The 15,431-nt window shown below is 47.6% G+C and overlaps 1 annotated feature.

The window, feature by feature from the left end:
* Window positions 15,101–15,220: an enhancer, noted in NCBI's record as "active region_26941". NCBI's record gives its function as "activates an Ori minimal core promoter by ATAC-STARR-seq in GM12878 lymphoblastoid cells {active_cell/tissue: GM12878}" and the evidence as "EXISTENCE:reporter gene assay evidence [ECO:0000049][PMID:35858748]".

Raw genomic sequence — 15,431 nt, forward strand, 5'->3', positions numbered from 1 at the left:
TTTGCTGAAATGGACTCTTGGGCTCTTCCATATTTAAAATCAAAATAGATAAAGCGCACTGGGTGTGATAGAGCTTGCAGAAAATGCACATACCTCTGGCAGCTCATCTTCTGGGTAGGGTTGAGTCAGGAAGACAGCCTCTTTGGTGAGGGTTTTGGTACAATTTGGAATGCTTTTGATGCTGCAGAGTGGCACACACACCCAGTGTCACAGGATGCACATCCAGTTCTGGTCTACAAGTGAGAATGCTAAGGATTCTGCAGCACTCATACTCCTGTAGGATGGGGTCCATTCCTGTTCCTTTCCGGATGTGTGTATGTATGTGTGGCTTTGTACTTCTTTATTTTGCTTTTTATTTTTATTATGGAAATTTACCAATAGTACAAAAGACAGAATAAAATGTACAAGTCCCTGGCTCACAGAATTGCAAGCAAATAGAATGGATGTTATTTTAGGGCACTGGTTTTAGGGTGGCATGTTACACAGCAACAGAGAAACAAAACATCCACATTCTCGTTTCCTCAAATGCCTCCCAATTATACTTAGAGTGTTTTGGTTTGAATCAGAGGGTCTCATCCATGATTAATTGGTGTGTTTCTTGCATTTCTTATAACCTAAGAGTTGACCCTTCCTCTCCTTTTTTGTCCAAGATACAGAATCATCTAATTTCCCACAGCATTCCCATGAGCCATTTAACACATTTCGCCATCTCCTGTACTTGGATCTAGAGGTTTGACCAGTGTCAGGCCCACTTTCTAGTTTTATTTCTTGCCAAATGATGGAAGATGCATGTGGATGTGGCGGCTCCTTTCCTCCTTTTGGGAGCTCAGCAGTGAGCAAGCTCAGCTGGACTCGGCTGCCCTCGGGAACCTCAGGGTCTTTGGGTAATGTTGGCATCCCAGGTGGGCACAGCTGTCCCGGGCCCTGTCATGGACCAAATGTTTGTTTCTCCCCTGCAAATTTCTATGTTGAAGCCCTAACCCCCAGTGGGATGGTATTAGGAGGTGGGGCCTCTGGGAGGTCTCTAGGGTTAGATGAGGTCCCATAACGGGATGGCTGTCAAAAGAAGAGGAGGAGACCACAGCCCTCTGTCCTCCTGGTGAGGACACAGGCAGAAGGGCCATCTATGAACCCAGCACCACCAGAACCCAGCCTGTTGGCATCTTCGTTCGTCTCAGACTTGCAGCCCACAGGATGGTGAGAAAGGAGCCCAGGTGGTGGTGAGCAAACCCTCCTCTAGATGTCTGTTCCCTCTCCAGGCTCCTGGCCCGGAACTCCTTGGACAGATCACTCATGATGCAGAGAAACTCAATGTTCCCACCTCTGAGGCTCACCCACAAAGATGTTACATGACATGGGCAGGGCTGGCTCTGCCCTACAAGGGTGTTCACGCAGACCAGCCCGACAGCCAGTGCCTCTCCCAACCATGGTGCACCCGAAACTCCTGCATCCAGCCCATGCTGTGTAGGAGTGAGCATCCATCACTTCTCTGTGACAGGTTTTGCACATGAAGCCCTATGTTGTATCTGCACATGTGGCAAGAGTGGCTGTTACTGAGCTCCTTGCACGGGGCAAGCAAGGTCCACCAGCAGCACATGGTGTCTGGCGGCCTCTCCCTATGGTGTCAGCAGCCACTGAAGACTATTGCCTAGATTTACCAATTTATTAGGAGCTATGAAATGATGATATTTCAATTCCAAATTTTTATTAAAGAAAAAATTCCTAATTGACTAGTTGTTTACCTTGAGGTCAAGTCCATATTTTGGGCTTTTTGTTTTACTTTGTTTTAGTATCACCATTAACTCATAAATTAAACAGTTGACGTGTTTCAGTACAGTGCTTATTTTCCTTACTGATGCTCACACTCTTGCAGCATTGGCCAATGGGGGCTTATTTGGGTTGAGCCTTTGGAGGTAAGTTCGGCGGTCTCTGATAAGTCTGTTCCTTCAGGTGTGGTGTGCTGTTGCAGGCACAGCTGGGACACGCTTGGTTCAGGCCTGGAACCACGCATTTCTCCAGAAGCCACAGGTCATTTGCTGAGAGAGGCCATGAGTGACCACAGTCTACTCACGAGGTGTTCACTGATCTGGACTTCATGCCTGTTTTTAGTTTTTTTTCTAGCTAGAGCTAGTCATTTCATACTGGGTGATTCAAATTCAGGAATACAGTGTTTCGAGTTAACCTCGTCGATTGCACAACGATTGCCTTTCAATCATATCAAAAATTTTGATTCTCAATGATGCGAAAGTAAAATACTCACTTAAACTACCCACCATGTAAGTGCCCACCTTGCCTCCAGGTGGTCTAACTTAACGTTTGTTTGTTTTTTTTAACTTGTTTGCTTTCATCATTATTGTTATAGTTGTTAACATAGTGATTTCTTTTTAATATTCAGGAAAATCTATATTTTCCTGACTTGCTTTTATCGTGGGGGGGGATTTGAAAATGCTCGTGTAGATTTTCCCGTGGTTGTTATCTGCTTTCCTGAGCGTGCAAGACAGGGCAGGAGGCTGGGATAGCTTCCTGAGTGCCACAGCTCCGGAGTTTCTGCTGTTTCCACAGGGACAACTTGGCCTTGTGCGTTCAGAAACCAGCCTTCCCCCGCTCCCCAGTCTGGCGTGGTGTTTCCTTCCTTTGCTGTGTTGTGCTTGTCCTGCTCCTGCTCGACTTGGATCTGAGTGTGTTCCTGGCAGTTTTTCTGCAGGGCAGGGATGTGCTCAGTACAGGAGTTTGTAGGAAGCAGATGGCTCCGTGACTGGGATCCTATTCCATTCATGCTCCCTTTGGCAAAGCTACAAATTATGTCCTTCAGGAGCTCCTGGGCCAGACCCTGTGCTCATACCTCACTTCCCCGTGAATTCCTTTTGGCATCTTGAGGTGCTTCTGTTTGTGGGGCCATCAGAAGCATACTTCCCTTCCCAGCTTTCTTCGACACAGAGCTTTGAGCCGTACTGTTTGTCTCTGCCCTGCCATATGTGGGGTTCATGAGGGTACTTTGTCCCAGGTTCTGTTGAAGGTATTTCAATGGGTCCTTAGTTTTGCTATAAAATCTAGTCTGTGTATGTTTCTGGGAGAATCTGGGGAAATGCGCAAGCAACAGAACATTGCTACCACCTTCCCAGAATTCCTCTTAAATGTGCTTTTAATTCTCTGAGGAAACTCAGAACAGGGTTAATTGTAGAAAAGATCAGATGCATGTTATGTTTAGCTCTACAAAACTCTGCGAAGTATAGATTCTCATGCATTCAAAGGAAAATAATACATCGTCGTAAATTGTGTCCAATATAGTCATTCCTCCAACTCAAATTCGGTGTGACTTTCTGGTACCCAGAACTCTCCAGAAATCTCGTCTTCTCCAAAAGTTCTTGACTGTACTGTACTTTTGATATTATTTTGCCACTAACATTATGAAATAACTCTTCTAACCACAAAGCAAGTATGTTCACTATGCCTCCTCCCTCACAGGAGTGCTGTGCATGGTATCGGCCATGGAACCCTGAGAGCAGGGACGCTGGAGAGCAGCTCAGAAGAGGCAAGACATGGGTGCTGGGTTAGTTCCTGCAGCTGCTGTAAAAAGTCGCTACACACTCATAGTTTAAACAATTTAGTGTTCTTACAGTTCTGGAGGCCAAAAGTCCTGAAATCAAGGTGTGAGCAGCACTGCGTTCCTCTGGAGGCTCTGGGGGAAAATCTGTTCCCAGCCTTTTCCAGCTTCCAGAGGGGCCCGTCTTTCTGGGCTCGTGCCCTTCCTCCATCCTCAAGGCCCACAGGGCAGCACCTTCAGTGACCAACTGTGACTTCTGCTTGCCTCCCCACACCTTTCTCCTGCCTCCTCCTGTATGGACCCGTGTGACAAACCCAGATAACCCGATAATCTCCATCTCAAGATCCTTAACTTAGTCATATCTGCAAAGCCCATTTTCCAAGTGAGATAGCGTATTCACAGATCCTGGGGATTAGGATGTAGGGGGCCATTAGGGACCTTTGGGGCCATTATTCTGTGCACCAGTATTCTAGGAAAAACGAACAAGATTAGGGCACTGTTCTGACAGGTGAAGCCAAGACGAAAGGTTTCTGAACACCATCATGATGAACAGCATAAGAAGGAGGAACAAGGTTGCTCCTGAGGCCCTTTCAGCCATGCACTCACCCCCACTCCCCAGCCTTGCATCTTCAGGGTGCACCCAGGCTCCTCAGTGAGCTGCAGCGTCAGTAGAGTGGCCCTGGCCCGAGGATTCCTCAGCCAAGGAAAGCAGGTGAATAAATGAATCATTGTAATTTTATATTGAAAATCTATAACAGTTACACACAATGCGGCTAGGAAGTGCCAGAGAGGAAAAGACAAACCCTGCCTGGGGAAGTGGGTAATGCTGAAATAAGTTTTGATGCATGCTCAGTGTAGAAAAGAAGACAAGAATTCTAGGGTAAAGCAATCCTGTTAAACACACAAGGACAAATGGGAGAACATGATTTTTGAGAGATCTGTGAGCAGCTGGGTGTGGCTAAAACCTAAAGGGTCCTGACTGTAGATGAGGAGAAGAAAGAAGACGGAGAAGGAAAATGGATTCTGATGTGAATGTCTCTGTAGGAGGCCGTACGGGGGTTCGGTCTTCTCCTGCAGACAATGCAGAGACCTTGGACATTCATAATCAGAGCTATTTTGGAAAGATCTCCCTCAGAATACTCTGACAAGCATTGTCCGTATCACGGCCTTCTGTGCACATGTGTTTCTTCCTATACTGATTTGTAAACTCGTTGCAAGTCATGGCTGCATTTGTCTTAGTTTTCCTTCCCTGTAACTTAAGTTTTCAAAAAAATTTTTATAGTTAAATTAGGTTGGACTGAATTGAGACCACAAAATTCTATGAAATGATGGAACTTTTATGTAACAGGCATATTTATATTAAAGATATATTTAAGACAAATAAAATACTAATTTACATGTTCTATTGTGGAATTTAAATAAGCATGTATTCATTCTAATACCTCATATGCACATGCTTTTTAGAACACCATACTCAGGCATTCAAAAACAACCTGAATTTGAAGGTGTGTTCTCATGTGAGGGTTAATTTTATGTGTCAACTTAACTGGGCCATGAGATGCCCAGATAGCCGTTAAAACATGATTTCTGGGTGTGTCTGTGAGGGTGTTTCTGGAAGAGATGAGCATTTGAATCAGTGGACTGAGTGAAGATCATGGGCTGGCCTCATCCAATCCTCTGCAGGCCTGAATAGAGCAAAAGGTGGAGGAAGGTTGAATTCCCTCTCTGCCTGATGGTGGGGCTGGAACGCCAGTCTTCTCTTGCCCTTGGCTTTCTGGCTCTTTGGCCTTTGAACGAAGCCACTGGCTTTCCCGGATCTCTGCCTTGCAGATGACAGGCTGTGGGACATTGCAGCTTTCACGATCACGTGAACCAACACCTCACAGGAAATCTCACTGGAGCTCTTTCTCCAGTCTTCAGACAGAAGGTTCTCTGTTAGGCACAAGAACAAGCTGTCCCAGCCTTGCTGTTTGTGCTGGAAAGGGCCTTATTGGAGACGCTCCACGTTGCAGAATCCACACTCCACGTTACAGAATCCACACTCCACGTTACAGAGTCCACACTCCACGTTACAGAGTCCACACTCCACGTCAGAGTCCACACTCCACGTTACAGAGTCCACACTCCACGTTACAGAAACCACACTCCACGTTACAGAGTCCACACTCCACGTTAGAGTCCACACTCCACGTTACAGAGTCCACACTCCACGTTACAGAATCCACACTCCACGTTACAGAGTCCACACTCCACGTTACAGAGTCCACACTCCACGTTACAGATTCCACACTCCACGTTAGAGTCCACACTCCACGTTAGAGTCCACACTCCACGTTACAGAGTCCACACTCCACGTTACAGAGTCCACACTCCACGTTAGAGTCCACACTCCACGTTACAGAGTCCACACTCCACGTTAGAGTCCACACTCCACGTTAGAGTCCACACTCCACGTTACAGAGTCCACACTCCACGTTACAGAATCCACACTCCACGTTACAGAGTCCACACTCCACGTTAGAGTCCACACTCCACGTTACAGAGTCCACACTCCACATTACAGAATCCACACTCCACGTTACAGAATCCACACTCCACGTTACAGAGTCCACACTCCACATTACAGAGTCCACACTCCACGTTAGAGTCCACACTCCACGTTAGAGTCCACACTCCACGTTAAAGAATCCACACTCCACGTTACAGAATCCACACTCCACGTTACAGAGTCCACACTCCACGTTAGAGTCCACACTCCACGTTACAGAGTCCACGCTCCACGTTACAGAATCCACACTCCACGTTACAGAGTCCACACTCCACGTTACAGAGTCCACACTCCATGTTACAGAATCCACACTCCACGTTACAGAATCCACGCTCCACGTTACAGAGTCCACACTCCACGTTAGAGTCCACACTCCACGTTACAGAGTCCACACTCCACGTTACAGAATCCACACTCCACGTTACAGAGTCCACACTCCACGTTACAGATTCCACACTCCACGTTACAGAATCCACACTCCACGTTACAGAGTCCACGCTCCACGTTAGAGTCCACACTCCACGTTACAGAGTCCACACTCCACGTTACAGAGTCCACACTCCACGTTCAAGCGCAGGCCATGTGTCCTCTTCCCTGTTGCCCCAACACCTCCCTGCAACCCCCACTCCGAGTCTGAGGCTGTGGGGGTCTGGGTGGGGTCACACTGGTGTTGAGGTGGGGTGTGAGGTCACTGCAGTCTCCTGAGCAAACAGGCAGCCAGGCCCACTGCAGCTGCAGGGGAAGCGCCTTGCCTGAGGAGCCATGCTTCTCATCGTCCAGTTTCTAGGGATCTCCAAACTCTGCACCTTCCAAACGGGCTGCGTATCGGGCATTTTCCAATTTTCTTTGTCCAGTAATCTTCATTTCATCTCAGACTTCACAGTGGAAAGTGGTCTGCAGAGATTGCCCTGTGAATCTCCATTCTTGGGTCACACTTAACGTAAGAGCAAATTTCTAATCAGTTTGGCAACTGACCACTTTCTCCCAGGACTCATCTGCCTCCTGCGTTCCTCTGTTCTGGTCAACTCTCTGCCATCAGGGACCTCGATCATGTCTTCTGCAGAACCACAGAGCAGGAAAGTGCTGAAAGCTGGATCTGCAGCAGCAATTGAAAGGCAGTGCGGTCCCAGCGTTCTTTATACAGGTGGCATGGGGTTGGGGCATGCATTTATACAGTGAGGCAGCTGATTTCGTAAAACTTTTCCATGTGAGAAGACAGTGGCTTTGAGAAGTAGCAACAGGACTAACCAGTACAAATTTTTATATGCCAATCATGTCCCAATAAAGTGGTCTTAAAAAAGGCTGAAGCTTATGACAAAAATAAAGAAAGAAAGCAAAAAAAGAAAGAAAAGAAAAAAAGAACGCACCCCCAAGGTGAATTCCAGGCAGCAGCAGCAGCCGTGGTGGATGGGCTCAGACCAACCCTCAGTGGGAGGAGCTAGGGAAGACCCCGCAGCTGCCCCGCTAGGTAATGACTGTGGGAAGCTGGCCCTAATCCCAGAGTTCCCAGTGCCCTCACAGTTTGTTAACCCAGGACACCCCTAGCACACCAGTCTCATGAAAAGAGGGGGGTCCCTGAAGAGCACCCAGGTCCCTCCAGGCCACCCAGGCCCAGGGGTCGGTCTGGACCTGCCATCTCCTGCTTGTTCCCCCCAGCCCCTCCGGGGTCTGCCTCTGACACCAGCTGAGTGTGACCTTTGATGTCTCAGAGCTTCCGTGTCATCAGCTGTAAGGTCATCTGTCTTTCTTTCCCTTGGTGTTGGAAACTTTTAAATAACGTCGCACTCAGAACTCAACTTGTAACACTCCCATAGGGATATCTTCAGTGATGCTGGCCGGTAGCTGCACCCCTCATCCTTCTGTCTGGGCTGCTTCTTCCAGTCCTTTCTTGGGATCTGAATTTTACCCCTAAACTCTGTGCCAGGGGCCGAGGCCACAGTGCATGCTAGATGACGTCCCAAAGCTGCACTCAAGAACAGCTCATGTTGGCGAGGCACATACCAAACGCTGCCTCAGATAGAGAAGAGCCACCAGGACTTTAGACAAACCCGGAGAGAACCCCAGAGGTGAAGACGCCCGGTGCTGGCTGGGACCTGTGCTGTTCCCCACGGGCCGACGCAGCAGGGCCTCAGGTACAGGGCAGACACATCCAGCCCTGCAAGGAACAGCCAACAGGATTCCGCGGGGCACGTGGAATCCTCTGCAGAGCTGTCTGTGTCCAGGGGCATTTCGTTCACTAAATGGTTCACTGAAGTGCTGTCCTGGAGAGATTTTCCAGCTTTAACGTATTTTTCAGTTGCCTTTTAGGAGAAATATCTGGTAGCGATCAAGAAAGCACAGTTGTCATAAATCAATAACTTTTTTAATGGAATTTTTTTCTTTTAAATAGACTTTAGTTTTTAGAACAGTAACATTAAGTGGAAAGTACGGAAAGTTCCCATTATCCCCTCCCCTCACACGGCCTCCCCACAGTCAACGTCCCCCACAGAGCGTTGCATTTGTGATAGTCAATGAAGCTGAGTGAACATCCTTGTCACCAAGAGTCCACAGTTTACATTAGGGTTCACTCTGGATGTTGTTATTTCTATAGGTTTGAACAAGTCTAATGATGTATATCCACCATGACAGCACCATGCAGGGTGGTTTCACTGCCCTAAAAATCCTCCGTGTGCCAACCGTTCATCCCTCCCTCCCAGCTAACCCCTGACAACCACCGGTGCTTTTACCGTTACCGTAATTTTGCCTGTTCCAGAATGTCGTATCGTTGGAATCATACAAGTATGTACCCTTTTTAGGTTGACTTCTTTCACTTAAGAACATGCATTTAAGCTTCCTTCATGTCTTTTCACAGCTTGACAGCTCATTTCTGTTTAGCCGTGAATAATATTCCATTGTCTGATGTGCCACCGTTTATCCGTTCTCCTACTGAAGGGCATCTTGGTTGTTTCCAAGTTTTGGCAGTTATGAATAAAGCTGCTGTAAACATCTGTGTGCAGGTTTTTGCATGGACATATGTTTTCAGTTTATTTGGGTAAATACCAGGGAGCATGATTGCTGGATTTTGTGGTAAAATGTCTAGTTTTATAAGAAACTGCCAAACTGTCTTCCAAAGTGGCTGCGCTGTTTTGCATTCCCACTCTGGAATGGATGAGAGTTCCTGCTGCTCCACATCCTCGCCAGGTTTGGTGCTGTCAGGGTCTGGATTCTGGCCCCTCTAATAGGGGCGTGGTGGTGTCTGGCTGACATTTTAATTTGCATTTCCCTGGTAACATATCATGTGGAGCATCTTTTTCATATGCTTATCTGTCATCTTTATGAATTTCAATTCAGTTTCCAACATTCTTAAAGGAAAAAAGAAGATTTTCAGCTAAACTTTTCTGGTAAATTGAAGATGTAACACATATCTATTCATATGGAAAGTGATGTCACCTCTGAAACATTGATAATTCGCAAGGAGAAGTTTCCACGGAAGACACAACACAGCGAGCTCCAAGTATTCTAGCTTTGGCCAATTGTGAGAGGCTCCTTTAGGTTAAAGGCAGAATATGGTTATGAAAACCACAGGGAAAAGAGGGCATTCTCCAGTCTCTTCGTAAAGAAATTGGAGTCTAGAGTAAAATGTGCCCCTTTGTTAAAATATTATCGCTCAAGAAGTAGAAATATATAAAATGTATATATCATATATATATAATACACACACACACACACAGCAAAGAAAATACGGTTCCAAATTCATTCAAACTGGTTCCGTACTGTGCTTCAATTCTCATGTCAGATGCTGGGTTGGAAGGATTTGGGATGTCGTGTAATCTGAAGCCTAATGATCCAAACAGATTGAACGTTAAGTCAGTAAGAATTTCTTATTGCTTGTTATAGGATGTTTACTGATTTGAAAACAGAATGTTTTTTAAGAGAAAGAAGTTAAGTGCCACACATTTCAATTTAAAATGTGAGATGAAGTATATTTCCTTGCCAATAGACACAAAAACACGTAGCTTTTTTCTTTTTCCACAGACTTTATAGAGCAGACCCGTTATTTCTGTGGAAACCCCTGGTGTGCCTGTTGATGGAATAAACGGTGAGCTTGGAGCACCTCGCCGCTCCCTGGCCGCAGGCCTTCCACAGCTTCCCAGGGCTCTGGGGTGTGTCCCGGTCCTGTAGCCCCCAACAGATGCCTTCTGCTCCTCAGGCTCCGTGCTCGGCACACTGTGTTCCAGCTCTGCTCCTGTAAAGCTCATCTTCTCTTAATTCCACTGAGCATTTTTGCCTCTTTCCTCTTCACATCTGTTGATAGTTCCCTGCACGTGAATGCCAGCCTCTTCTTCTCCAACAGTTAAGAGATGCCCAGGTTTCCCAGCCACTGCAAAGGGGCCCTGCGTGAGGCAGGCGGCACATCTATGCTGCCTTCGAATCAGATGACCTGGGCTCAAATTCAGCCACTCACGAGAACTGTGGAAGCACTTACATTACTTCAGCTCTTCAAGCTTCAACCTGCCCCGACAGTGGAGTGGACATAATATAAGAGACGACATGCCCCTGGTGCCTGCTCCATGCTGGACATGGTCTCAGCTGCTAGGGATGGCAGAGAGGAAGGCAGAGCTCACCCAGGAGGCCAGGCCATGCAGGGCTGTGGGCCACTGTTAGGGGCAGGGGCTTGATTCTGAGGGTGACAGGATTTCATTGCTGGGTTTTGAGCAAGGGAATGCTATGACGGTATTTACCTTTCTCAGGCTCAGGCTGCAGTGTGGAGAGTGGAGGAGGGGAGACAGCAGGAGGCCTGGTGGCATGGGGCTGCCAAGCTCCTATGGAAGGGACAATGATGCCTGGGCCCAGTGTAGCAATGAGGCGACCGACAACCTGTCCAGTTTGGAATCTGTGTTGAGTTTAGAGGCATCAAGGCTCACCAGATGTCAGGAGGTGTAGGTTTAAAGAAAGTTCCTAAGTCTGGGCCGTGAGCAGCCCGATAAATGTGGTGTCACTTTCTACAGTGAGGGACAGAGCAGGGAGAGAAGTCAAAAGTTCTGATTTGAACCAGACTTCCAAGTGGAGATGTCCTACAAGAAGTTGGATATGTGAGCCCAGAGAACAGGGCTGAGTATATAAATCTGTGAATCCACCGGCATCATGACTCCTGGGATGGCGTGACATGGCCTAGGGAGGGAGGAAAGGCAGCTCCGTAAGCTGGAGCTTTCCAAAATGTACAGTCCGGGAGAGAAGGGTCCAGCTGTGTGGCAAGGAGACAGAAGGAAAGTCAGAAAGGTGGTGCCTTGGAAGCCAAGTGAAAAAACTGTTCACAGAAAGATATTTCAAATGTTGGTTTCTAAAAGGTTAGCAAAAGTGTCCAAGTGACACTTCGTCTCTACAAAAAAAAAAAAAAAGCCAGGCAATGGGGTGCATGCCTGTAGTCCCAACTACTCAGAAGGCTGAGATGGGAGGATCGCTTGAGCCGGGGAGGTTGAGGCTGCAGTGAGCTATGATCACACCATTGAACTTCAGCCTCGGTTTTAGAGCAAGACCCTGTCTCAAAAAAAAAAAAAAAAAAAAAAAATGTCCAAACACTGTTGAGAGGACAAAGAAGGTGAAGAGTGAGGTTTTTGGTTGGATTTTTCAAAATGGACATTAATGGAAACTTTGTTAAGAGCAGTTCCTCTTGAACCCTAGAGTTGGAGGCAACAGAGAGAGTGAGAAGTGGCTAAATGGAGAAAGGAGGACGGGCAGCTCTCTTGGGGGTTTATGGTAACAGAGGAGAAGAACGGGCTGGTATCTGGAGGTGGCATCTGGAGGTGGGTGCATGAGCACCAGAGAGGAAAGTCAGATTTTCTGTTGCTTTTTGTTTGGTTGGCTGATGTTTGTTTGCTTTGGTTTTGGATGGAGAGTAGCATATTTGCATATTGATGGGTTGATAACTCTGAGTTATGAAAAGATCTCATTAATGAATATGGAATACCTAGTCATACGCGACAGTGAGTAAATGCTGGCTGTTGTTTTCATCACTGTCACCTTTTTCTAAGCCTCTCTTCACACGTTCTGGCTTATTCTAGTTTGAGTTAGAGCACTGTTGTATGAGCTACACTTCTGGTTTTATAAACACTGTGTTATTCTACACTATTTCTCACATGGGCCTTTGCTTCTTGGGTTTGGTACAAACTCCTGGATGGCAAATTCTGTGCCTTGTCCACTGCCCACCCTGCGATGCCTGGCACTGTGCTAGCTCAAAGCTTGAATTCAAGTCAGCTGCGAAACTGCATCCAAGAGTCATCTGGAGGAAAGTGTTGTTTGCTCTTGGGGCATGCAGACCCAATCTGATGGGGCAGGTGCTCTGTCTTCAATTCCCTGTGTCCCGAGAGGGGGCAGGAGGAGGAGTGGCACAGGCAGCTGTTGTACCTCCCTGTGAACAGGAACCCCAGTGGCGGAGTTCAGATTTCTGTAGCTGGACACACTCTTGGCCTCAAACTGCACTGCAATCACAGCCATTTGGCTCCAAGTTCTGAAAGGGTGGCTTGTGAAAAAAGAACTCTAGAGAGAAATTAAAGCTCAACTTCCAAGGAATTTCTAGTCTGTGTATTTGTGTTTTATCCCCAGTTGATGGTACCTAGAAGACCAAAAGGAGGGCAGCTTCATGTCTGAGAGTGAGCACCGACTTGGAAGTCTAAAAGGCACCACACATGAGTCTCGTCTCCTGTCCTCAAACACTTGAGATTCCTGCATGTGGCACCCGACAGCGTCCTCTTCTCAGGAGGAGAAACCACCACATGATGTGCAGACACGGAGACATATTTCCCTCAAGTGCGTACAACAGAGGTTGGAGCACTAAAGCCCTAACGTTAGAGCCAGAGGTATTAAAAAGAGAATGCAAGGCCAAAGCCTTAATAGTATGCTTTTTCATCTAGTGCTAAACAAAGGAGAATATAGTTCAGTGTGAGAGAAACTTTGAAGCCAATAAAATAGCAGGAAAAATGGAAAATAAGAGGAGGACCAGGTAATTTAGGATATATTTTAAGTTTTACAGCAGAAACAGACACAAAAACCTGAGAAAGACAAGTGCAAATTTAAATGAGAAAATGAAAGCACATTGTTTTCAGGATACCTAAGATAATGACACAAGAATGAAAATGAGTTCATTTCTACAATTACTTGAATCGACCAAATGGGCGTTAACGTCTGTGTATTATACATCTTGCCCCCTCTGAAGTTCTGTCCTCATTTCTCCTCCCTCTTTCAGAGTCTCCATTATTTTCCTCTAGAGATTGGCATTCAAGGCACACGGCTCTGAATCAGCAGTTGCTGTAATTAGGGTGTATCCATGGTAATGATAACGAGGGCTAATACTAATCCCTCCTTCTTCCCTCTTCCTTTCCTTTTCTGACTCTTGTCCCCAGGGTCCCCATCCCACTCATGTGTGCACACACACACGTGCACACAAACACACACACAGGTGCACACAAGCACTCCTAGGACATCCACAAGAGGATGGGCACCCATGCAGAGCGGCCTTGCCACCCCCAGAGCAGATGGCCAGCCACACGTCAACATCAGAAAGGCTCGTATCCTTCTGAAATGGAGGACTCCCTGTTGTGAACCTAATAGAATATCGACATGTGGACACCACAGTTCAGCCAGATTCTCTCGAAAGTGTCTCTGCTGATAGAGGTCCACAATGTCATACTCATGTTTAGAAGCCTGAGATATTTGGACTCTGCAATCAGCTGAATTGTGTCCTGCCAAAGCCCTATGTTGAAGCCCTAACCCTTAATGTGGCTGTCTTTGGAAATGGGGTCTTCAAACAGGTGATGAAGGTTAGGTGAGACCACAAGGGAGGGTCCTGAGCCAATGGGAGTGATGTCCCCAGGAGAAGGCGAAGGGATGTCAGGGATGCGCGTGTAGAGGGAGGACCACGTGAGGGCTTGGGAGGACGTCAGGGATGCGCGTGTAGAGGGAAGACCACGTGAGGGCTCGGGAGGACATCATGGATGTGCGTGTAGAGGGAGGACTACGTGAGAGCACGGGAGGACATCAGGGATACAAATGCAGGGGGAGGACCACGTGAGGACATAGGAGGATGTCAGGGATGTGAGTGCAGAGAGAGGACCACGTGAGGGCACATGAGGATGTCAGGGATGTGAGTGTAGAGAGAGGACCACGTGAGGGCACAGGAGGACGTCAGGATGTGAGTGCAGAGAGAGGACCACGTGAGGGCACATGAGGATGTCAGGGATGTGAGTGTAGAGAGAGGACCACGTGAGGGCATGGGAGGACGTCATGGATGCAAGTGCAGGGGGAAGACCACGTGAGGGCATGGGAGGACGTCAGGGATGTGAGTGCGGAGGGAGGACCACGTGAGGGCTCGGGAGGACGTCAGGGATGTGAGTGCAGAGGGAGGACCACGTGAGGGCACGGGAGGACGTCAGGGATGTGAGTGCAGGGGGAGGACCATGTGAGGACATAGGAGGATGTCCGGGCTTCGAGTGCAGAGAGAGGAACGTGTGAGGACATGGGAGGATGTCAGATATGCGTGTGCAGAGGGAGGACCACATGAGAACATGGGAGAAGATGTCGTCTGCAAGCCAGGGAGAGGCCTCAGGAGGACCAGCCCTGCCACACCTTGCTCTGGGACTGCCACCCGCCAGTACCCTAGGAGAACACATTCCTGTTGGTGAAGCTGCCAAGGCCGTGCTGCAGCACCAGGGGCCTCTGGCTGATAGACTGCAGAGCAGCGATGCCAGTGGTAGCCTCCAAGTAAACTCTCTAAAGGGATTTTGTTTTCTATCCTCATTTTTCCTGCCTTATCTTTCAAGAGACTTCGTTTACCTTCACTTGTGTGGGTTCGTTTCTAAATACAGAGAAGGAATGCAGGCAAAGGAGTACCAAGCCAAGCCATCTTTTTAAAAGATAAACAGGGCACATTTTTCTTCCTTCCTGAGCAACTCATACACCAAATATGTACAGAACACCTGTAAATGGTAGAGGATTCAGATATTTTGAAAGCACAAAACCTACTCTCGAAGAACACACAACTGCTGAGAGGTAACAAAGTTTTGGCCGCTGTAGCTGCTAAAAATAGAGTTGTCATATCCTAAAACTAAAAATAAAGAAATACATCACTGATCAAACACGCTTGATGGCCTTCATTTGCATACGGTCGTGACAAGCCCGGTGGGAGGTGTAAGAATACTTGGGTGTTACCCTGCCCCCGAGGAGCTCATGAAAGCGGTGTTCACAGCATGCTGCAGTTGCTCACATCGTAGTTCATAAGGCATTTTCTCACATGCCACCTAAACTCTTCTGCGGGGCAGCTGGGGCAGGCACCGCCTTTCTACTTCTCAGGTGTGAAAACTGAGG

The sequence above is a fragment of the Homo sapiens genome, chromosome 8 (genome assembly GCF_000001405.40).
Source record: "Homo sapiens chromosome 8, GRCh38.p14 Primary Assembly".
NCBI lineage: Eukaryota > Metazoa > Chordata > Mammalia > Primates > Hominidae > Homo > Homo sapiens.